The sequence below is a fragment of the Homo sapiens genome, chromosome 1 (assembly GCF_000001405.40).
Source record: "Homo sapiens chromosome 1, GRCh38.p14 Primary Assembly".
In the NCBI taxonomy this organism is placed as follows: Eukaryota; Metazoa; Chordata; class Mammalia; order Primates; family Hominidae; genus Homo; species Homo sapiens.
In genome coordinates, this window is record NC_000001.11 from 197,747,953 (window position 1) to 197,773,970 (window position 26,018).

General features: G+C 35.2%; 1 protein-coding gene across 16 annotated transcripts in view; it reads right to left on the reverse strand.

Annotated features, from left to right (window-relative positions):
• The window catches only part of DENND1B (DENN domain containing 1B), a 277,403-nt gene that overhangs the window by 243,205 nt on the left and 8,180 nt on the right, over nt 1–26,018 (reverse strand). For all 16 annotated transcript variants that reach the window (NR_125340.2, XM_011509248.3, XM_047447711.1 and 13 more), the window contains exon 2: nt 24,916–24,980. Coding sequence is in view for 11 of the 16 variants with exons in the window: in XM_011509248.3 (XP_011507550.1) it covers nt 24,916–24,980 (65 nt within the window). In the remaining 5 variants the exon portion in view is untranslated. The remainder of the gene's footprint in view (nt 1–24,915; nt 24,981–26,018) is intronic.

The window sequence follows — 26,018 nt, forward strand, 5'->3', positions numbered from 1 at the left end:
ATGAAACCATAAGAGGCTAACCAGTTAGCACGTAAATAGAATAAAATCTCAAACTCTACACAGTTGTTGACACACAGCTTAGGAGTAAGGCTACTTTAGCCTTAGAGGTAAAATACTCTAGACCCACCTAAAGATTAAAAACAAACATTGAAAAGATCTAATTGGTCCATCAAAAATTTGATTGCCCAACAAAACAAAATGTGATACTTAGTTAAAAAAGATAAATTTCAAACGGTCAATAATATGATATCCAAAATATTCAGCGTGTAACAAAAAATTATCAGACATGCAAGGAATCAACAAAATATCAGGGAAGTAGGGGTGGGGGGGTGGGGGCATGAAAAGTAAACAGAAACAAATCCAAAATGAAACAGATATTAGAATTACCAAAGAAGAATTTTTAAAAAGAGTTATGCAGTAGGCAGAACAGTGGCCTCTCAAAGATATCTATATCCTAATGCCTAGAACCTGTGACTGTATTATATAACATAGGAGAATTAAGATTGCAGATGCAGTTAAGGTTGCCAATCAGCTGACCTTAAAATAGGGAGCATATCCTAGATTATCCAAGTGGTACAATCACAAAGATCCTTAGATGTTGAAGACAAAGCAGAAGTGTCAGTATCAGAGGGACAAACTAGGAAAAAGACTCATCGGCTATTGTGGGCTTTGAAGACAGAAGGAGGCCAAGAGCCAAGGAAGGCAGGCAGCCCCTTAGAAGCTGAAAAAGGAAAGAAAACACTTTCCTAGAGCTTCCAGAAAGAAACACAGCCCTGCTGACATCTTGGTTTTTGCTCAGTGAGTACCATTTCAGCCTTCTAATTTCCAAAACTGTAAGATAATAAATTTATATTATTTTAAGCCACTATGTTTATGGTAATTTGTTATGGCAAAACAAGAAATTAAAACAAGCTATTAAAACTACATCTAAGTATTTAAAGGAAAAGATAGAATGAATTAACAGATAGAGATCCTCAGTAGAAAAACAGAATCTATTAAAAAGATTCAAAACGAAAATCTACAATTTAAAAAATACATTATTTGAGACAAAAACATTCACTGTATGGGCTTAACAGCAGATTGGATACTGTAGAATAAAAGATTAGAGAACCTAAGTACAGAATAATTGAAACTGTACAAACCGAGACACAGAAACAAAAAATACTGAGAAAAATAAAACAGAGTCCCTGTGACTCATGAAACACTATCAGTCTAACACACATGAACTGTGTCCCCAAGGGAAAAAGAATAAAGGAGGATAAACAGAAAAACAGCTTCAATAAAATAATGTTCAAAACTTTTCTGAATATGTATGTACATATATATAAATTTATAGACCCAAGAAGCTCAAAAAGTCCCAGTCAGGATAAATACAAAGAAAACTAAACCTAGCACATAACAACCAAATTTTTGAAAACCACAATAAAAAGGGAAAACCTTAAAAGCAGACAAAGGAAAAAAAAAGATATCACATAGATAATGATTAAAAACTTCTGCTTAGGTATCATCAAAAACTATGCAAGCCAGAAGACAACAGAACATTATTAAAAATGCTGAAAGAAAAAAACTAGAAATCTATTCCCAAGTAAATTATCCTTCAAAAATTAAGATATAATAAAGACATTTTCAGATAAAATCTGAGAGAATGTGTCACCAGCAGACTTGATGTACAATTAATACTCCAGGCTAAAAGAAAATGAGGCCAGATCATACTTCAAATTTACATAAAGGAAGAATGCAAGAAATGGTAAATAGTAGGTACATAAGATTTTTTTTTTCATTTCTTAACTTTTTAAAAAAGGAACTGATTGTCTAAACAAAAATAATTATGGGGATTCTCTTACTTAATAATTTCAATTTATAGTGAAGTTTTTTGGGTTTTTTTGTTGTTGTTTGTTTGTTTGTTTGTTTTTGAGACAGGATCTTGCTCTGTCGCCCAGGCTGGAATACAGTAGCACCCTCAGGGCCCACTGCAGCCTGGAGCTCCTGGGCTCAAGGAATCCTTCCCCTAAGCCTCCAGAGTAGCTGGGACTACAGGTCCACACCACCACACCCAGCTAATTCTTTTATGGTTTGTTGAGATGAGGTCTCGCTATTTTGGCCAGGCTGGTCTCAAACTCCTGGTCTCAAGCAATCCTCCCACCTCAGCTTCCCAAACTGCTGAGACTATAGGCGTGAGCCACCAGGCCTGGCCAGGATTTTCTTTCATATAGAAAAAATAGTGTATGACAGCAATAGCACAAAGGAAGGAAAGGAGTAAAATATAAGTGAACTCTTGGAAGGCTCTTATACTCACAGTGGCATAATTTTAATTCACTGTAGATATGATCACAATAGATATGACATAATCATCAAGTACAATGTAATCCTTAGAGCTACTAAAAACAAAGCCAAGAGAAGAGAAAAGCATAAAATACTAAAAAAAAGAAAAATACATTAATCTAGAAGAGAAGGAAGCAAAAAGGTAACAACAATCCAAACAAAAACCAAAAGTACAACCATAAAACAAATAAGATAATGAATTTAAACCTAACCATATCAATAATTACACTGAATACAAATGTATCAAACATTCTAATTAAAGGCAATGATTGTTAGACTGGATAGAAAAGCAAACCTAGATAGATAGATAGATAGATAGATAGATAGATAGATAGATAAAGATATAGACATAGTTTAGACATAAGACAATTTAGAAAACAAGAATGGAAAAAGAATTTCATGCAAACACTAATTATGAGGAAGGCAGAGCAGTTCTATTCATATAAAAGTAAAGACAAAAAGCATCACAAGCAAATTTCTGAAAACCACAATAAAGAAACAACCTTTTGAACTAACCCTTTTAACATATGAAATTTCTCTGTCAGAGAAAAAGAGACAGAGACAGAGAGACAGAGAGAAATTTCATATGTTAAAATGGTTAGTTCATAAAGAAGACATAATAGTTGTAAATGTGTATGCTTATTACAACAGAGCTTCAAAATGCATGAAGCAAAACCTGACAGCACTAAAGGAGGGAACCAAGAAACCCACAATTACAGTTGGAAATTTTAACACTCTTCTCCCAGTAAGTGAAAGAAACAGATCCAAAAAATAAAAACATAAAAGGTTCGAAAAGCACTATCAATCAACTTTATCTAACTGGCATTTAAACAATACATCCAACAACTGCAGAATATATATTCTATATAAGTGCACACTGAATTTTAACCAAGATAGACCACCTCGTGGGCCATAAAACAAATCTCATATTTCCAAGGATTGAAGTCATACAGAGTATGTTCTCTGACCTAAATCAAATGAAAAATAACTAATAAAAATATATCACAAAGAATCTCAAATATCTGGAAAGTAAGCACTTCATTTCTAAATAACCCACGGATCAAGAAAGAAGTCACAAGTGAAACTAGAAAATATTTTCAACTACATAACTATGAAAACACACTATATCCAAATTTGTAGGACACAGCTAAAACACTGCTTAAAAGTCAATTTACACATTTATGATTACATTAGAAAAAAAGAAAGGTTTAAAAATTAACACTCTAAACTTCCACATTAAGAAGCTAGAAAAAATTAAATCCAAAGTAGAAGAAAATAATAAATGTCAGCCAGGCGCGGTGGCTCACACCTGTAAGCCCAGCACTTTGGGAGGCCGAGGTGGGTGGATCACTTGAGGTCAGGAGTTCGAGACTAGCCTGGTCAACATGGTGAAATCTTGTCTCTACTAAAAATACAAAAATTAGCAGGGCGTGGTAGCATGTGCCTCTAATCCCAGCTACTCAGGAGGCTGAGGCAGGAGAATCACTTGAACCCAGGAGGCGGAGGTTGCAGTGAGCCAAGATCGTGCCACTACACTCCAGCCTGGGAAACAGAGACAGGGGAGGGGAGGGGAAGGGAAGGGAAGGCAGGGGAAGAAGGAGGAGGAGGAGGAGGGAGGAGGAGGAGGAGGAGGGGAGAAGGAAAAGAAGGAGAAGAAAGAGAAGAAGGAGGAGGAGGAGGAAGGGGGGAGGAGGAGGAGAAGGAGAAGAAGAAGAAGAAGAAGTAGAAGGAGGAGAAGAAGGAAGAGAAGGAGGAGGAGAAGGAGAAGAGGAGGAAGAAAGCAGAAATCAATGAAAACAGAAAATGGAGACATGAACAAAATACTCTATTGGCTCTCTGAAAATATTAATGAAATTGATAAACTCCTAAACAAGACTAATAAAAAAAGAGAGGTGATATGCGAATTATTAATATTGGAAGAAAAGGGGGCTTATCACTGCAGATCTTATGAAAATTAAAAAGATAAATATTATGAATGGTTTTGTGCCAATACCTTTCACAATTAAATAAAATTCCTGAATTTTGTTTAAATTTCAAATTCCTTGAAAATTACCAAAACTGACACAAGCAGAATCCAAAAGTCTGATTAATCATTTATCTGCTAAAGAATTTGAATTCATAATTAAAATCCTTCCCACAAGAAACATTTGGGCCTAGGTAACTTCATGGGTGAATTCTATCAAACGTTTAAAACAACAGTATCAGTATAATTCAACTAAATTAAGTTTCTATATACATTGAAGATGTAATTGTAATAAAGCAATTTTATCAGAAATATATTGAAAACACTAACTTCTGATTTTCCCTGAGTTTAGTAGCTCTTTGGCAAAAACACCAAAATAGAAATTTTTTTCAAAGACTAATTTTTTTTCTTTATTATTATTATACTTTAAGTTCTAGGGTACATGTACACAACATGCAGGTTTGTTACATATGTATACATGTGCCATATTGGTGTGCTGCACCCGTTAACTCATCATTTAGGTATATCACCTAATGTTATCCTTCCCCCTCCCCGACCCCACGACAGGCCCCGGTGTGTGATGTTCCCCACCCTGTGTCCAAGTGTTCTCATTGTTCAGTTCACTCTATGAGTGAGAACATGCAGTGTTTGGTTTTCTGTCTTTGTGATAGTTTGCTCAGAATGATGGTTTCCAGCTTCATCCATGTCCCTGCAAAGGACATGAACTCATCCTTTTTTATGGCTGTGTACTATTCCATGGTGTATATGTGCCACATTTTCTTAATCCAGTCTATCATTGACGGACATTTGGGTTGGTTCCAAGTTCAAAGACTAATTTGACTACAAAAAAATTTAAACTTCTGAATAAAGAACATAAAACAAAATTAAAAGATAAATGTTAAATTGGAAAAATATCAATATGCGATAAATAATTGGTTGCTACAGATAAAATTAAAGCCTTTATCAAACGTGCAAAAGACAAAAATATAAAATGCACCAAAGAATTATTAATGCCAACATGAAATACTGGCCAACTTTTCTAATTAATCGAAATATAAAGTAAAGCAAGACAGGCAAAAATGCTTTCAAAAATTAAAAAAGGGAAATATCTCTGGAAAAGGCAAACTGTAGAGACAGTAAAAAGATCAAGGGTTGGAGGTAAGAAGGGATGAAAAGGTGAAGCACAGAGAATATTTAGGGCAATAAAACTATTTCTGTTTGATACTATAATGGGGGATACGTGTCATTATACTTTTGTCAAACCCATATAATATACAACATGATAAGTGATCCCTAAACTATGGCTTTGGGTGATAATTAAGTGTCAATGTAGATTCATTGCTTGTAATGAATTTACCACTCTGGTGGGGGATGTTGATAGTGAGGAAAGCTGTGCAGATGTCAGGGCAAGTGATATATGGGAAAACTCTTTACATGCAATTTTGCTATGAACCAAAAACTGCTTTAAAAATAAAGTCGATGGCCACGCGCGGTGGCTCACGCCTATAATCCCAACACTTTGGAAGGCCCAGGCAGGCAGATCGCCTGAAGTCAGGAGTTCGAGACCAGCCTGGCCAACATGGTGAAATCCCGTCTCTACTAAAAATACAAAAAAAACTGGGTGTGGTGGCGCACATCTGTAGTCCCAGCTACTCAGGAGGCTGAGACAGAAGAATCGCTTAAACCCGGGAGGCGGAGGTTGCAGTGAGCCGAGATCGTGCCACTGCACTCCAGCCTGGCAACAGAGCAAGATTCTAAATCAAAAAAACAATAAAATAAAATAAAATAAATAAAATAAATTCTATTTTTAAAATACATATAGGACTTAAAAGACTAAAAAAAACCTGTAAATTATTTTAATAATATTTCAATATTGACTATTAAAATTATGTTTTGGATATATGGAATTAAATAAAATACATTGTTAATATTTTTAAAAAGAGGATTAATACCCAGTATTGTGGAGAACTGTGGTACACAGAGGCTCTCTAACTATTGATAAGACTATATATCTTTTCGGAAAGGCAATCTGCCAATACATATCAAAAGTCCAACAATGATACTCAAGAACTTATTTGAAGTAGATAATAATACAAGTATAAATGAGATACATACACAGTCGGCCCATATAATAAAATTCCAGGTAACTATTAAAACTGATAAAGTAGGCCAGGCACAGTGGCTCACACCTGTAATCCCAACACTTTGTCAGGCCGAGGCAGGCAGATCACTTGAGGCCAGGAGTTCCAGCCTGGGCAACATGGTGAAAAATCAGCCAGATGTGGTGGTGCACACCTGTAATCCCACTTACTCAGGTGGCTGAGGAATGAGAACCACTTGAACCCAGGAGGCAAAGGCTGCAGTAAGCCAAGATCGTGCTACGCCGCACTCTAGCCTGGGCAACAATGCGAGACTCTGTCTCAAAAAAAAAAAAAAAAAAAAAAAAAAAAACTGATACAGTAAATCTATTTTCAGACATGAGAAGATGTTCATAACAAATTATCAATTGGTAATGGTTAGATAATAGGATACCATGAACAGATGAACCAGTTTACGGAAAATGCATATTCATGCAAATATACTCATATAGAGATGTGTAACAGATTGTTCAACAAAATATTACCCATTATATTCTCTGGGTGATAGAATTTTAGTCTCTTCATGTTATTTTCTTCTTCTATTTGAATCTTTTGCAATGGGCCTGGAGTTTTTTGATAAAACATAAAGGCATTTACACTCATATACATACATAGGCATACATATACAGACACACATACTGACAGTATTTGGCTACCCTAACTTCCAATTTCTCCTAGCAAAGAAAAACTTCATTCTACCTAAAGAAATCGTTCACTTGAATCTGTAATTCCAGGCAAGTCTCTCAAGTTACTATACTTATCTGATACAAAATTGAGGTTTACTGGAAAAAGTGTGGGTTTTAGAGTTGAAATCTTGGTTCAAGTCTGCCAGTTATATGTATCAGCCTGGTCACTTCACTTTTCTGTGCTCCAGTTTCCTCAAACATAAAATAGGAATACGAGTATATAGCCTACCAAAAGATAGGTATGAGAATCAAATAAATAATTCATATGAAAAATACTTTCTCAACATACTTTCTAAATTAGTAGTAGTGGAAGTATCTAAATTATTAATATTGGTAGTATACACTTAAGAGTAGTATACTGCCCAACAGAAAAAAAAAATACAATGGTACAGGATGCCAAAACAAAAGAAAAAAAAGATCGGACTTTTAAAAATGGGAAGAAAACTAGTAAAGAGAAAATATGTGAAGAAATATATGCAGACAATAAGGAAATAAAATGAGCTTAAACTAATAAGAATTTCCATTTTTTAAAAAATCAAATAAATGAAGAAGTAGTTGTATTAGTCTGTTTTCACACTGCTGATAAACACATACCCGAGACTGGGCAATTTACAAAAGAAAGAGGTTTATTGGACTTAACAGTTCCACATGGCTGGGGAGGCCTCACAACCACGGTGGAAGGCAAGGTAGAGCAACTCACATCTTCTGTGGATGGCAGCAGGCAAAGAGCAAGCTTGTGCAGAGAACTCCCGTTTTTAAAACCATCAGATCCTGTGAGACCCATTTACTATCACAAGAACAGCACAGGAAAGACCCATCCCCAGGATTCAATCATCTCCCAGCGGGTCCCTCCCACAACATGTGGGAATTATGGGAGCAACAAGATGAGATTTGGGTGGGAACACAGAGCCAACCCATATCAGTAGTTACAAAGTAGTCACATAGAGAATAAAAAATCTGTACATTTAAAAGTATAGGGAAATATACACAATGTATAGTAAAACCAAAAAATCTTTTTCACCAATGGCATCAGGCTAGTTCTTCATTAAGAATGCCAAGAATTATCCTACACATAGTCTAGGAAGGAAGAATTAAGGAACAGAATATTTTGATTAACTAACTGATTGATAGAATTAATACATTCACCTGTTCCTCTGTGGATTTTAGCCTACCAGGCCAGACGCTGTTTGTTCCTAAATGTTTTTCCAACAATTAGAATATGCTTTTATTAGGCTGGGCATGGTGGCTCAGGCCTGTAATCCCAGCAGTCTGGGAGGAGGAGGCAGGCAGATCACTTGAGGTCAGGAGTTCAAGACCAGCCCGGCCAACAAAGCGAAACCACATCTCTACTAAAAACACAAAAATTAGCTGGGTGTGGTGGCATGCGCCTGTAATCCCAGCTATTCAGGAGGCTGAGGCAGAAGAATCTTTTTGAATCCAGGAGGCAGCAGTTGCAGTGAGCCAAGATCGCACCACTGCACTCCAGACTGGGCAACAGAGCAAGTCTCCATCTCAAAAAAAAAAAAAAAAAAAAAAAAAAAATATGCCCCCATTAAACAATTAGATTTACTATTTAGGGAAAACAATGGCATAAACAGCCAGACTTTCAGAAAAGCATGGGTCACTAATAATAAACTAATAATAAATTTTATTCATTATCCTTTTTATTTAAAAAAATTCATTAAAACAGATGAACATTAGATACTTGTGTGTAATAATTATCAGAACCCATAATTAGAGTTAATCATTATTAAAGAAAATACTATGCCTGAAAGGGAAAGAAATATTTGCATAAATGTAATACATCTCTCATAATCCTTAATTTTTATTGCCAGTGTTAAATTTTGCAATCCTCTCTCCTAGCTTTGGAGTCAGAAGTCCTCACTGATATACTGTGACACTATGCCATTATATGTTAAATATATTTATATATATATATACACACTATATATATACACAGACACATATATGTATATAAAACAAAAGAATCTATTTCTTCTTGCAAGTTACAAAAGAGATGTACCTGCAGTTTGCTTAAATTATATTAAAAATAACCTTCTATTTAAAAGCATATTCATATAATTTATTATCTCTATTGATCATCATAGGTTTACAGAAGAAAGAAAAGGAGGATCATAACTTTTCTCATTTTAAGACAAAGAAACAGGCTCAGAGTGGTTCAACTGGAACTCCAACCCAATTTCTAACTCCAATCTAACTCTAGAGTTCTGCCATCCTACCTAGTAGCATAAAACAACAGTGAACAAAAGCAGTGAATAAAAAGCCAGTCTCACCAAAGAAACCATAAAGAGAACATCCCAGCCTGTGCCTCTCTAATGGGTAAGAAGAAATAAGAACATATTGATCCCCTCAACCCTAGCAGACCCCAGGCCATTTACCTCCTATCATTGCATGAAGTCCATTTGCCCAGAAGTACCATACAAATATTGTCATTTTCTATGTGTTATAAATAAAATTAAGAAACACTGTTATTGAGAACTCAGGAATCTACAGAAGGGTCTTACATAAATTTGTCTGACAAAATATAAACTTCATCAACATTATTAAATTACCTATAAAAAGGAGATTTATATCAATGATATAACAGAATCTTGCTTCAAGGATAATTTCTGGACTTAAATTCAGCATTCACTCAAGAAAGTTATACAGGAATTCAAATAAATGGGAATAATGTCATTACCAAGATAGCCTTGAATTTTCTGTATTTTTTAATCATTCAGAAGTTGCAATACTTAGTATTTGTTTACACAGACCTCACAACCAATTGCACTATACCTCTCAACTAATATTTCCTTTGAGAACCCTACACTTTTGTAATATTATCCTTAATTTTAGCTCATCATCATTCCTTCAAGGATATAAGCCCAGTGTTATTTCTATTCTAACAACTTTCTAGCTTATCAATATTAGCTCTTAGAAGTTTGAAAACTTACACATATATGGAATTCTAACTTTGTTGCTGAAGTTGTACATGTGAAAAATTTGGAAGAAAGGAGCGCTAAAGAAAAGTCACATTGTAATTTTCAACTCCTGTTTGACCTCTCTGGACCTCACCAAATATTTATATGGATGCTGTCAGATTCGGTACTACAAACTTATTCTCTGCTAAATATCCTTTTCAAAGTGAAATTCACTAATCACAGCGCAAAATACCAAAATACGTGTCTTCTATCCTCCTTGTTCCTGACACTTCTGCAATATTAAAGAGGGGACTTGGAAGTTACTATGTGACCTTTCTTTAGCATTCCTGTCTTCCAGATTGATCACATACATCAAAATAGGAGGAAAGTTTTTTACTAACAATTTCTGTTGAAGTGATCATACCTTTTTTCATACGGCTAACAACCACAACACAGAAACCAAATAAAAGTTTCTATCTACATGGTGCAATTTATGAAGCATTTTCATGCTATTATGTATTTGACTCTCATAACAATTAGAGATATGCAGTGCAAATATTTTACAAATGTGAAAAATGAAAGTAATAGAATTTAAAGGACTTGATCAAAGTCAGACATCTAACAAGTGATGAAGCCAGTACCAAGAACTATGTTTCAACTCTCGGTCCAGTATCTTCCCATTCCACCATGATGTCTATCAGGTAAAATATCTGTCTTATCTTTAAGAGGATTCCAGAGTTTAGGCTTTTAGAAAATCGTGGCATCAAACCCATTACTCCTGTTCACCTTGAAACAGAGATTTAATTACTTATTCACAGTCCATTAAAGCATAAGTATTAGTTTTATTAAAATGTGTCTGCTACATCTTATGAAATTCTCTCTCCTTGTTTCTCACTAAAAAGGAAAAAGGTTCAAAAGGCACACTAATTAGAATAAGAAAAAGCACAACTTTTCCCAAAGAATAGAGTACTTCATTAATTTTTTTTTTTTTTTTTTTTTTTTTTTAAGATGGAGTCTCTCTCTGTCGCCCAGGCTGCAGTACAGTGGTGTGATCTCGGCTCAATGCAACATCCACCTTCTAGGTTCAAGCAATTCTCCTGCCTCAGCCTCCCAAATAGCTGGGGACTACAGGTGCACACCACTACACCCAGCTAACTTTTGTATTTTTTGGTGGAGATGGAGTTTCACACGTTGCCCAGGTTGCTGGAACTCCTGGCCTCATGTGATCCACCCACCTCAGCCTCCCAAATTGCTGGGATTACAGGTGTGAGCCACCATACCTGGCCTTAAATACTTCTTTAAAAAATTTAAAAAACCAAATAAAAGAAATTAATATAAAATAATAAAAAGAAGCAAAATACAATTAAAAGTAAAATTAGGAACTAAAGAATTAAGCTAAAACATTTTAAAGTAACATAAAAATATTAAATATATAATAAATGAAAAAAAAACACCAAATATATTCAAGATAAAAGTGAAACAAGGCAAAAATACAAATTCCAAAATGAAAGTATCTGCACCATCTTCATGCAGGTGGCATGAGGTGGTGCAAAGAACCAGCAGGCCATCTTTGGTGAAACTCCGTCTCTACTAAAAATACAAAAAAAAAAGTTAGCTGGGCATGGTGGTGGGCGCCTGTAGTCCCAGCTACTCAGGAGGCTGAGGCAGGAGAATGGCGTGAACCCGGGAGGTGGAGGTTGCAGTGAGCTGGGATCGCACCACTGCACTCTGGCCTGGGTGATTGAGCAAGACTCCGTCTCAAAAAAAAAAAAAAAAAAAAAAAAGCATGCGGGAGGAAGATACCTCTTAGAGAGCACCAGCTTATTCATCTCTTCCCCATAAACTAGGCAAAAGCACCCTCAATCTACTCTCCTCAAACCCAGCTTTTAAATTTTTAACTCAGAATGAGATTGAAAAATCCCTTAACAGCAATACATAAATAATTTTTGTGTTTTGACCAATTCAGCCATACCTTAAAAAGATCGACTTTAATCATACTTAAAATTGTTTTAAAATAAATTTAAATTATATGTTTAGTCTGTCATATATATTAAACACAATGTAAATTATACGTTTTTGAAGAACTAAGATACCCTGAAAAGGTAAAGTGTAAGCCATCTTAAAATGTATAAGATGACTAGAAAGCAATTCTAATCTTCATGATTTGGAAGGCATTCCAGAAGAGTTCAGTGACTTCAAACATTTTTAATGCTTTGATCAATATTTTGAGTATATCATAAGAAAGTAGCAGTAAGTGATGCAAGGTTTCAGGTAGAAAATTTGATATGAATGCCATCTCCTCTCTTTCTCTCCATATCCATTTATAAACAAAATGGTCATTGTTAATCTGGACAATTACTGAGAGAAATGAATCAAAAAATTACTGGCCAGTCATAGTGGCTCACACCTATAATCCCAGCACTTTTGGAAGCTAAGGTAGGCAGGTCGCTTGAGCTCAGGAGTTCAAGACCAGTCTGGGCAAAATAGCAAAGCCCCATCTCTACAAAAATTAGCTGGGCATGGTGGTGTGTACCTGTAATCCCAGCTACTCGGGAGGCTGAGGTGGGAAGATCATGCTGGGCCCAAGAGGTGGAAGTTGCAGTGAGCCAAGATCACGTCACTGCACTTCAGCCTGGGCAACAGAGTGAGACCTTGTCTCAAAAAAAAAAAAAAAAAAATTACCCACAGATTTTATAATCCCCCAAGAAGAGTAAATTATTAGTCAATGGGTTTAGTAATGGGCTTTATAATGAATTTTAAACAGCTATATCAGCTCTATCAAAGGCAAAATTTAGAACAATGACATCTTAAACATTATACTGCGGGCTCATTTATGTCTTCAACTATTAAGCTAAAATGAGACAAATATTTACAAATTAAAATTTTGTCTTTCAACTAGCATTCCATTTCAATATTTCCACGTTTAGGGTATACAGTCAACATCCCTAACAAACACTACAGTAATCATTAAAAGTTGGAAGCTAGTATTTTTGTACGTAACAGTTCTTAGCTTATTATTTCTTCTCTAACATGTCTAAACCTGTACACAGTGAAAGAACCAACACATAATCTTGATGAAATTGTGCTGCTCCTTATTGTCAGTGATTACTCTGCAGGTATTCATCAACAAAATCACACATTTCATAGTAAAACTAAGACTCCAAAACTTAGTTCTCAAGTCTTGAAGTAATAAGAACAAAAAAATTTTAAAGACATTATTTTCTAAAAACCAAAAAAATTAACTTCATTAACTGCTTATAATTATTAAACAGAAATTGCTCTTTTAATATGAGTAAAAATGATGAAGACCTTCAAAAATATTTTCTAAATATTATATTACTTCCTCTTCCAAATATCATATCTAAAATACACTGTAATCTTGAAGAAGAAAAAAAAAGAATCCTTTCTGAACCACTTCCATGCAAGTTTAAGAGCACCTATAATTTTAATGCATAGACCTTGAGGACATATGATGTTCCCGTGTATTAAAACACATTTGAACTTATTTGGCTTTCATTTGAACCATGTTTCCTGTATAAACATGTAAGTTAATTTCAAATAACTTATAATTAATTTGATGATAATCTTAAGAAAATAAAAGTCATCTAAGTTTTTATAACTACCCACGTGATAAAATTTTAAAGGACTGCTTAATTCTAATTAATAGTAAATTTGTATACTAAACACACCCTCATGCTGGTGCATTTCTGCTACCAAACCAAGATAAAATTATTATTTTAATGAGTAATTTCTGGAATCATATATATCTGCAGAAGGCTATCAGATGAACTAAACTGGTTGTTGTGTGCTTTTCTTCAGATTCGAGTGATAATTAAGAAGGAACTGAAAAAGGAAAAGGCTCTATCTTGATCTTTACCAGTTCTGCCTACAAAGTTACAGTTTGTGGTTTTTCAACAGCTCTATTTAAAAAAAAAAAAAAAGTTTTTTTTAAATAAAGTGCCCGTTGCTTGTGATGACAAAAATCTGCAAGCTTTCAAAGTCCTTTACATTCAATTTTTTTTAAGATTTAAGAAATCTTCAGTAGGAATTGATAATCAGAACAATCTTTTACTAATTTCACTGTAATAACAATATAACTTATAGCAAGTAATCATTGAACACCATTCTCGTGTAAGATACCTTCCCAAAATCTACAAGAGATTCAAAGAGGTACTTGTCCTTAAAAGCCTGAAATCCAATAAACAACATAAATCAGGACAATAAAGACCTAGCTCAAGATAGACTATAACTTCCACGAGACAGACACCAAAAGGCTTATTAGTCAGCATTTTTTTTTTTTTTGAGACGGAGTCTCGCTCTGTCGCCCAGGCTAGAGTGCAGTGGCACAATCTTGGCTCACTGCAAGCTCTGCCTCGCGGGTTCACGCCATCCTCCTGCCTCAGCCTCCTGAGTAGCTGAGACTACAGGTGCCCGCCACCAAGCTTTTTAAATAAAATTGTACTGTGTTTATTTGAGGTGCTCAATATGATGAAATACATATAGATAGTAAAATGGTTGCTATAGTGAAGCCAATTAACGCATCTATCATCTCACATACTTACCTCTTTGCAACAGGAGCAGCTAAAATCCATGTATTTAACAACAATCCCTAATACAATACAATTTTATTAACTTTGGTCCTCATATTGTATATTGGATTTCTAGACTTGTTCATTCTATATATCTGCTATTTTGTGTCTTTTGACCTACCTTGCCTCATTTCCTCTACCCCCACCCCACCCATGGTAACCACTGTTTCATTCTCTGTGTATCCGAGCATTTAAAAATATATATTCTACATATAAGTGAGATCATGCAACTTGTTCTTCCTGGGTCTGACATATTTCATTTAGCATAATGTACTCCAGGCCCATCCATGTTGTAGCACACGGCATTATCTCCCCCGTTGTAAGGCTGAATAATATTCCATTGCATATATGTATACACACCACATTTTCTTTATCCATTCTTCTGCTGAACTACTACAGGACCCAGCAATCCCTCTTCTGGAAAAAAGATAAAATCACCACCTTGTAAAGACATCTGCCAGCTTGGCGGTGGCTCACACCTGTAATCCCAGCACTTTGGGAGGCCAAGGCAGGAGGATTACTTGAGGTCAGGAGCTCAAGACCAGCCTCCACAACAGAGTGAGACCCCATCTGTACAAAAAATGTAAAAATTAGCCAGACATGGTGACATACGCCTGTAGTACTGGCTACTCAGAAGACTGAGGCGGGAGGATCCCTGGAGCCCAGTTCAAGGCTGCAGTGAGCTATAATTTTGTCACTTCTTTTTATATATATTTTTTTATTTCTGAAGCTTCACTTTAACAAATCTTACCTGTTTAATACTGTAATTATACTTCTTTTAAAAGAAAGGAATTTAACAAAAATTATTAAGCCCATAATACCCTACACAATTTCCATTCCTTTTCTTTAAAAGCCATCTCAGTACCTTTATCAGTTTAACAATCCAACAAATATTTACTGAGCACATACTATGAGTCAGACACTGTTTTAGGCTCTGAGTAAACAAAATTAAATGCAACAATCCCCTGCCAAGGCAAGTTACACTGTAGCAGAGAGATTCTTTATCTTCTTCATCAGATGCAACTATTTATACCAAAAGCAATATATTCTTTACTCTTAATTATTCACACAAGATTTTGAATATGAAGTAAAACTCCAGTTAACTTTAGAAAAAGATAACCACCTGACAACCAATTGTCTCTCCCTCTATTATCTCACAACTACCCGCAAGATCTCCCCACTCCTCTACTGTTCCCTAAGCAATGAGCTGAATTAGGTGCCTTCTTCGTACTTCAGTGCTATATGCACTATACAACCTCTACCACAGCCTTTACTACTCTTACAATTATTGACTTGAAATTGACGCTTCCCCTTCAAGAATGCCATCTCAATTGCATTTCATCTGTGCATGACGCATAACTGGCACTCAGAAACATTCACTGAAGGAATGAGAGGGCTGAATACTTTCTATGGTGTTTAAGCTCTTCTTCTGATGTCTGTTAAGAATATCACAACAATTCTGGTCAAGCCTAGAATCAGTCAGGGGTTTTCTAAAACGAGTGGCTTTTTAAAGTTGCTGCAGAAGATTTCACTGCTATTGTTCTAAAGGTAGCACAGCATAATTGTTAAGAGCTCAGGCTCTAGTACCATAGAGACAAGTTCAAATCCTAGTCTTACTCTTAAGTCTGTGTGCTTTGGGCAAGTTGTTGAACTTGCCTCAATTTCCTTATGCTTTGAAAAGAATAACAGTCAGTAAATTTTATAGCTGAAGTGAAGACAAATGGAAGATGTAGGCTCTTGGCACATTTTCTGACATATTATAAATACCAAATAAATAGTTTCTATTACTATTTATGTAGAACATCTAACTGGAAGCCTAATCAGAGAAAATAAATTGAAAAATAAGGTCCTGTAACCATGACATTATAGCTTTAGCTCATTAACTAGGAACTTTAAGCAATAAAAACAAGTCTTTATGAAATTCACTGAATTAATACTCTGACTAAATATACTTATACACTTACTAAAGTTGTTAATCACAATTACAAGAGTATCAACACGTATGGTGGAAAAATGGTAAAATGAAACCAGGATTTGGCAGTTACAGATACATTTGACCCTTAGTCAACAGATCTTTCCATTATAAAAACTGCTTCTTTTTAATTGATTTGAGTTTACAAGGTTTTCTTTAAAATTAAAATGTTCCCTTAAAAAATACATAATAAAAAATAAAAATAAAAATAAATGTTTCCCTGAAGGCTATCAGTTGTTCACACCTCACTGTTAATTAATCAGATACACACTTTAAGTAACACCGGTGTACTTAAAAGGAATTGTTAGTTGAAAAGTGGTGAGAAGAGGGGTAATCTTAGTGGAGCAGGCCTATATAATGCTCATTGTGAGAATTTTTACCAGTCACCAGGCAGCATGATGATAATGGCACCTACAAGGTGACAGCAGAGGGGATCCAGGAATTGTAAAAGGCATCAAAGCAATTCCCTCCATACTCCATGGGATTATACTAAGTGCTCTTTAAGGAAACTCAAGTTCTGTTATTCTACTCTTCTCTTATTCAGTGTCATAAGAATTAGTACCACAGTCTCCTAAATAAATACTTTTAAAAGGTCAAGTCAGGATCACCTTTTAGCAAGTTCCCCCACAAGGCCAGTGACTGACCTATCACAGAAACGTGAACCAAGACATTACTTTCTATAGATAAAATTAAATTACTACTTGAGATAAATCAAGAGTTTGAAAGTGGGAAAAGTTTTTCAATGTTAAACATTAAGCTTATTTCCAAGGAAGAAGTATTATTTTGGAAATGATTAAAAATCCAAGAGCTCAAATGTGATATTCTCATTGTTATCTGAAGTACCATGGCCATCTGCGTAAAGCACTCTAAACATGTCTATTGCTAGTATTATATGAACACTTTAAAATGTATACTGTACACAGTAAATTATTATCCCCTAACTTGCAAATAAAACATGAAAATTTAGAGAAAAAGAATATATTATCTGAGCCTAAGAAAAATCTGAAAATGAGAGAATATTATCAAAAGCACATCAGGAACATATCACCTTGAAAGTCAAGAAAACAAAGTTATAAGAAAAAACCTGAACAAACTTGCACTGTGGCAACACAGCAGTGACAAAACAACAGTCTTAAAGCATACCACTGTGAAATCTGCAGCAGAGGCCAAGCAGCCTCTGACATTTTACAGTGGAAATCATGAACATCAAAAACCAAGAGGTCACCTTAGATTAAAGCGGCAAAAATAAAGAACATGTAAACAAATGAAAGCACCTAATGAGAAAGTGATAACCAAACTATTAAAATGTAAAATTTGCAACACACCTATGAAAGTAATAATCAACAAATACTGAACAGTGAAATTTGATTTGCTTTTTACACTTGCAGGCAGCTATGTGAAGGAGGATGTAATGCACCAAGCCACATATAAAAGTACATATATTCTCAACTATTTTCTATATAAATCAAGAAGGGCATAACCCAAGGACATGGTTCTGAAGAATCACATTACATTTTGTTCCTGGCTAGCAGTGCAAAAGAAAAAACAGTTTCATTTTATTTTATTTTTTAATAGAGATGGGAGCCTCGCTATGTTGCCCAGCCTGGTCTTGATCTTCTGACCTCAAGGGATTCTCCCACCTCTTCCTCCCAAAATGTTGGGATTACAGGTATCAGCCACCATGCCTGGTCACAGTTTCATTTTCTTCAACAATTTAGCTTATACAGTTTGCATTACTCTAATTTATCCTAGTGCATCTGAATTGAGAGACTCAGAGTTCTTAAATGAACACAAAGTTACAGCAAAAACAACTATCATGGTAACCACATTTTACTCAGACTTTTTCCATGTTGGACAATAATGCAATACCTCCTAAACTACTTTATTATCTGTATGATTCCTCAAGGTTCTATTTTCCAAATGTTAGAGTTTTGTTGGGTTTTAGTATGTATGAATGGTTATAGATGAGTTTTAAGGTAAATTCACAAACATATATAGCAACTGTTCTTATAAATATTTTGCTATGAAGAGAGGAAAGGAGACATAAGCACTGAATGAAAAGAGTTTGAGGATGGGGTATTCCAAAACAGCCCATTCCAAGACATATATGGACTTCTATTTCTAATGCCCCTGTACTGTCATACCAGCACACATTTAAAATCATTTCTACAAGCAGCTCTCTGTGGATTAATGTAATCAACATTCATTTATTCAATGGCCAAGCATTAAGCTAGATCCAATTTATTTTTATTTTTTATTTTTTAGAGATAGAGTCTCCCTCTGTCACCTAGACTGGAATGCAGTGACACAATCTCAGCTCACTGCAATCTCTCTCCGCCTCCTGGGTTCAAGTGATTCTCCTGCCTCAGCCTCTCAAGTAGTTGGGACTACAGGCTCTTGACACCACACCCCGCTAAATTTTGTATTTTTAGTAGAGACAGGGATTCACTATGTTGGCCAGGCTGGTCTCAAACTCCTGACCTCAAATGATCTACCTGCCTCTGCCTCCCAAAGTGCTGGAATTACAGGTGTGAGCCACTGCACCCAGCCCCAGTTTCTTTTATTCATTCTGTAAATATTCATTAAACATGTCAGATGTGTTAAGTTTTTTCTTAAGAATACAAATTAATAAGTTCTGGTTCATGAAGAACTTACCTCAAGCAGGGCAAACATACATTTAGACACATCAGTATTTCTCTAAATGACCATATTAAACATATCTATAATAGTACAATAAGTGCTAAAATACCAAGCAGAAGCAAAATGTTGTAGAGTCTAGTGTAGATAGTATCACTATAGACAAAAAGTTATCAAATGCAAAAAGTAAGTTTAGAGATACCTTTCTTGTGCAGGGCATGGAGGACACTAAGAATTCTTTGGCTTAAGGCTCTAATTTAACAAAAAAGTGAAAGGCAGTTAAACTGTTAACATAAGTTGCAGATAAGAAAAATTGATAATTTGAGACTGGGTTGGATAGGCAGATCAAAGTAGAAAGCTGGTAGCAAAGAAGAATTTGTTCCTAAGAGAAACTGTTCTAGGTAAAAAGAAAGGAATAAAGAAAACAAGACGTGCTAAAGATGTTTTAAAACTACTATTAAATAGCCAGAACTATTAGATCAAAGATTCACTAAATATGAAGATGCAAATCCTAAAAATGAAAAGTGACAGGGAGGGAAATGGGATGAGTTAGGCTCTGCAACCACAAAGAAAAAACTCAGTAATTGTTTTAGGTGGAATTATATTGGATTCATTAATTTTAGGGAACACACTGTATTCCCATTTGGAAAAAATGATTTGTACCACATACAGTTTATACTCAAATATTTCCTCGCATGATAAAACCACCTATACACGTGAAGTCACTATGCAATGGGAGGCAACACAGCAGTAGTTAAAATACAGACTCTGGACAGACTACCCTGCGCAAGTTTCATCATTTCTCTGTTCTTCAGTTTCTTCATGTGCCAAATGGAAACAAGCATTTCCTATATCATAAGATTTTTGTGAGGCTTAAATAGTACATGAAAAATATCCAGAATTTTGCCCAGCACAGAATAAGTACAACATATTAGCTGCTGCAGCTGCTGCTGCTGCTCCTCCACCTCCTTTTCCTCCTCCTCCTCTTCGTCGTCCTCCTCCTCGTCCTCCTCCTTCTCCTCCTCCTCTTCCTCCTGCTCCTCCTCCTCCTTCTCTTCCTCCTCCTCCTCCCTTTCCTCCTCCTCCTCCTCCTCCTACTACTACTGCTACTATTACTACTTGGAATAAACTATCAACAAAATTAAAAAAGAGAAAGCTAGAGTACCAAGGCCACTTCCCAGAAGAGAAATGCTTAGAGGCATACCCAATCTTTTATTGACGAAAAGTTACTTTTCATTTCCCTGAAGTCTTAAGTCACTTTGGGGAAGGTGGGGACAGTATGGTAACAATGACTTCTGTTAACAGAATTGAGGAGAGGCCATCACTGCTGGCTGTACTTCCCTGCCTGCTAAAAGGAAGACAGACAACAAAAAGAATAAGAACACTAGCAATTATCTTGGAGATCTACCAGGAAGAGCATTAAGATCTAAATTTTGGCACTTCACTTTTGGACAGCTGGAGCAGAAGTTACTGGGAGGTTGTTCTGCCAGGGAAACCTCCATTAAAAAAAAAAATGCCACAACTAATCTGTCAGACACCACCAGAACAAATTCTACTAACACATAGGGGACACTATAGGGAAATACTACCAACCCCTCTTATGGCATTTTTTTAGATTTGTAGAGCACTCCATATGAAACTAACAAGCTATTTTCCAGAATGTTCTGAAATGTGTTGTTCTCAAAAAAAAAAAAATCAATATAATGCCTCTGAAACAAGTCCAAATAGCAGTAGACCAGATAAAGATCACAATCTTACCAGAGGAGCTTTATCAAGTTATATTTTAAAAGCTAATGTCATTTCACACTGTTAACTAAAATTTAATTAACAACCTGTCTCTGAAGATACTTATCTAAGCTATTCAGGATAAATGAAAACATTTAGACTTACCTATGAAAAATGAACAAGAGAAGCATGCCAAATACCTTAACATAATGTCACCAATCTTAGTATAAACCAAATTTACTCTAAATACATTTTCTATTTGATCAGTCAACAAAAAATTATATATTCTAAAAGTTCTTTAACAAAAGCATTTTAATTGATTTCTCAACATCTATTCATTGCCAATTTAAATAAATCAATCACAATAGTCTTGCCACCAACCCCTTTACCTCTACCCCACCAATGATAATTTCAGGAGTGGTCAGGTGCATGCCAACTTAGGCTACCAGGATCTAAGGAAAGGCTTTCTAGGGGATTTGAAAAAAGAAACTTTCTGGCTCTAAATAGAGACATGTAAAGCCAGTGTCTGTCACCCCCAGAGTCACAAACAAAAAAGCAGAGTTCCAACTTCCACTGACAGTCTTATAACCGCAAGAAATCTAAGCCCTCCAATGACACCATTACTGTGAGTGGCAGAAATGAGAAGCAGAAAGCACCTGGATGTTTGACGACTTCTTGTATGAACTATATCGATGTTTGACGACTTCTTGTATGAACTATATCAAGTTTCTCTAGTTTCTCTATTATTTAAACCAATCTTATGTTTGTACTCCAAAGCATCCTAATTTATACATTTTGTTTTCCAATCTATTACTATTTAAGAATTTCACCCATGATCATTTAATGTTAGCAAAAAAAAAATTATCGTACCTTAAACAAGCTGATAATGCACATATCAGAGCCTCATTAAAACAAATAGGTACTAACAGTTAAATATGAGGATTCCAATAACTTTTAAAATATTTTTCATATATTTTTCTATTTAAGATTTAGCTGTAAAGTAGAACATTGATAAAATATTACAGAAACATAAATCTCTCAATTTGGCAAAAAAATTTACTTTTATAGCCCTCTTATAGTTATTGATTTTATTATTTATAGCTACTAATTTATCATTTGTTATTTATTATAGTTACTGATTATAGTTATTACTTGTTAGATCCTAAAATATTAGCCATATTCATACTATTTAAGTCATAATAAAAGAAGAAAGGTTACTGCTGCTTACATGGCTGAGTTTAGTTTTTTAAAATATCTTTAGAATTTTCTGCCATTTAGCCATATAGAATGGATTATTTGCAACCTACAAAGAAGCCAACATTATTTACTTTAACCATTTATCATATTTACAACTTTACCAGGCTAGATATAAACTGTTAAAATACAAATGAAGATGTTTCTAAAAAGTAGTGATTTAAATAACAACAGCAAAAAGACAAGGTGTAATATTAAAGCAGGGCAGAAGTAGAAGATACAAACTGGAATAACTAGCTCATGAAAAGTGGAAAAGAGCAAAAAGAGGAAGAAGGGAGTAAACCACTCAAAAGCCTTTATAAGAAGACCACAATCTCTCTGACACATGCATAGATTGGGTGTTATATAAGGCAAATTGATCTTTTAACAAGATCACTTTAATACACATTTAAAATTAGAGAATCCATATTTTCCAAGTGAAATTAGCCTGTTGTGTGTGTGTGTGTGTATATATATCTATAAATATATATAAAAATATATATCTATAAATATATATCTATAAATATATATCTATAAATATACATATCTATAAATATATATCTATAAATATATAAATATATATCTATAAATATATATAAATATATATATCTATAAATATATATAAATATATATCTATAAATATATAAATATATATCTATAAATATATATATAAATATATATGTAAATATATATCTATAAATATATATAAATATATATCTATAAATATATATCTATAAATATATGTATCTATAAATATATCTATATATCTATATAGATTTTTTTTTTTTTTTGAGACAGAGTCTCACTTGGTCACCAAGGCTGGAGTGTGGTGGTGCTATCTCGGCGCACTGCAACCTCCACAACCCCAGTTCAACTGATTCTCGTGCCTCAGCCTCCCCAGTAGCTGGGATCACAGGCATAGGCCACCATGCCTGCATAATTTTGGTATTTTTAGTAGAGATGGGGTTTCACCATATTGGTCAGGCTGGTCTCGAACTCCTGGCCTCAGATGATCTGTCCACCTCGGCCTCCAAAAGTGCTGGGATTATAGGCGTGAGCCACCGTGCCACGCCTTTACAAGCAATATCAGATGAGCGTTACTTCACGCACCTTCGGTAATGTTGTGGTAGATATTTTTTAGATTAACTTATATCATAAACCACTATAGAATAGAATTAAATTGGAGCTGAAAACATAATGTATCCATTTGAGTATCCATTCTACCTAATATATCCATTCTTCAAAGAGGACCCGGTTGGGGCTCAAAATAATGCAAATGGACAAACTTTACTACATACAGGACAATAAAAGATAACTTCATCAACTAGAAAAGGCTCCCTACAACCTAGGATCACTCCTTGCCAATAGACAAACCTGACCACAGCTGCAGTTCAGATAGACCAGGAGTACAGTAGTAGGGCTGGTGGAGCCAACAATATGTGACTTCATACTAAAATTAGCCATGCCCATTTCACCACAACTGGGTTGGGCTTCTCTATTTTAAGGTGTGCAGCTCCAAATTACTTAAGAGTAGGTAATTGCTGGATAGTTTCTGAAGCTAAAATTGTCAGCAGACTTTCCTCCAAGGCTTTAGGATGGCCAATCAGTCTCCACGAAACCCCTATGCTTAATCATCATGCTATCCAGGGTCTAAGCACACAGCAAGTAAAGACATATACTTTAAGTATCTAGAAAGACATACCATGCAAGAACACATTAAAAGAAAATAGGCAAGAAAAGAATTCCTTATTCTTGTCTGCTAACCCTGCCGCCTACCACACATATGCACAATACACAATATGACAAAAGTGGAGGGAAATGATGAAAATCATGACATTAAAGTATTATGCTCTCATCTTTTCAGGAAATTGTACGGAACTGACAGCTGAAACCCTTCCAAGTAATTTCACACTATCGTTTACCTCCCTGCAAAAGTGCTGTGCTATTGGAGTAAATCCAACAGAAGGGGCTACTCAGTCTGCATTCTGCGTTCTGGAAACATCAGAAGGGAAGTGGTGTAGTTTCCATTGGTACTAGCAGGAGAATGTGCACTAATGTTTAAAAAAAGACACTAAATTTCCAAACATAAATGAAAGAAAATGAAAAGATTCGCCCTTTCACCAAAACTAATGATAACTTTACCAACGAATGGTGAAGCTGAGTTGTAAGTTATATGGGCTTAACAACACACCTGAAATTCAAGCTGCACTGATAACATTCATGATTTTTACAATCCCAGGGCAAAGACTTAACACCTATTTTATTACCAGCAACTTGAGACACTCAATGCAGAATACACATTTAGTAGTATTATTTTCCTATTACTACCATGTTCCAGCAGTCCACAATATTAACACTTGCTTTGACAGATTCAATCAATTATTTTAAGAATTAACAGAACAGGCCAGGCACAGTGGCTCACGCCTGTAATCCCAACAATTTGGGAGGGCAAGGTGGGTGGATCACTTGAGCCCAGGAGTTCAAGACCAGCCTGGGCAACGTGGTGAACCCTGTCTCCACAAAAAAATATACAAAAATTAGCTGAGCATGGTGGTGTGCATTGGTAGCTCCAGCTACTCGGGAGGCTGAGGTGGGAGGATCACCTGAACCCGGGAAGGAGAGGTTGTGGTGAGCCCTGATCATGCCACTGCACAGCCTGAGGAACAGAATGAGATCTTGTCCCAAAAAAAAGAGACCTTGTCAAATAACAGAACACAGAAGACACATACCTTCATTTTCAGAGGCATGACATTTCACTTTCAACACCAAGTCAAAGGTTCTGTCTGGATTTGCCCTAAAAGGAAAAAGTTTAAATTAATTTCCTATGACAAATAAACATCTCCATGAAACTTGTATTTTCTTAATTCTAAAACTAATCTTGTTTTTGTCTCAATACATTTCACGTGACTGTATTACTACAGTATAGTAGAAATAACAATGAAACTGTTTTCTCAATTGAGCAACTTAAAAGAGCTGAGACTTAGGAATTCTGAAACTTGGGGCAAAGCATTTAAACGCTGAGACTGTTCTCCCTTACCTATGAGGTGCCTTGTCCACTTCACAGAATAATAGTGAGGATTATAAATCAAATAACATATGTGCAAGTACTTCATTAAGTACTAAGTGCTACAAAAATGCAAAGTATTGGTTTTATCTTATTGGATCAAATTTAAAAGCCAGAGTGTCCCTAAGTGTCATTATACCCTGCCAACAGAGTTTGACACAGGTTCTCAGGCTGTCTCCAAAGGACTTGCAATATAAGTGTAAATGATGAATACATGGTTCCACCTGCCAAGTTCTAGATCACCATAAAACATTGATAATGCTCCATGAATGTGATACGTTGCATATACTTTTCTTAAAATGTATTTACTGTACTTATGCATATTTAAAGTAGCAAACTATTCATAGCTCTAAGGCTAGCAACATAAAAAGCCTTCTTTTTATCCATTATCTTTGGAGAAACCAGCCATCTGCTTCCATGTTAGATTTTCCCACTAGAAACTGTAAGTTTACTTTGCTTAATTCAGAAGTTATTGACTTTTTTACTAACTTGCCATATTTGCAAAATTTCAAAGCAACATTGGTTAAATTTCAAAAAGTGAACTGAAATATACTGAGACACTTTTTCTTCATAACATTGCTGTTTAAATCTCTCGTTCCATCATAAGGTAAAAGATTAAGTCTGTTACCACAACGGCCAATGTGTTAATATCTCAGTTATTCCTGCTAACAAGACCTTAGTGCCTTTGTACATTGGCTGTATTTAATATGTACTTCCTTCAAGAAACGAATGCCAGCTCTGACTTTAAAAAAAAGCATTTCTTTTTTT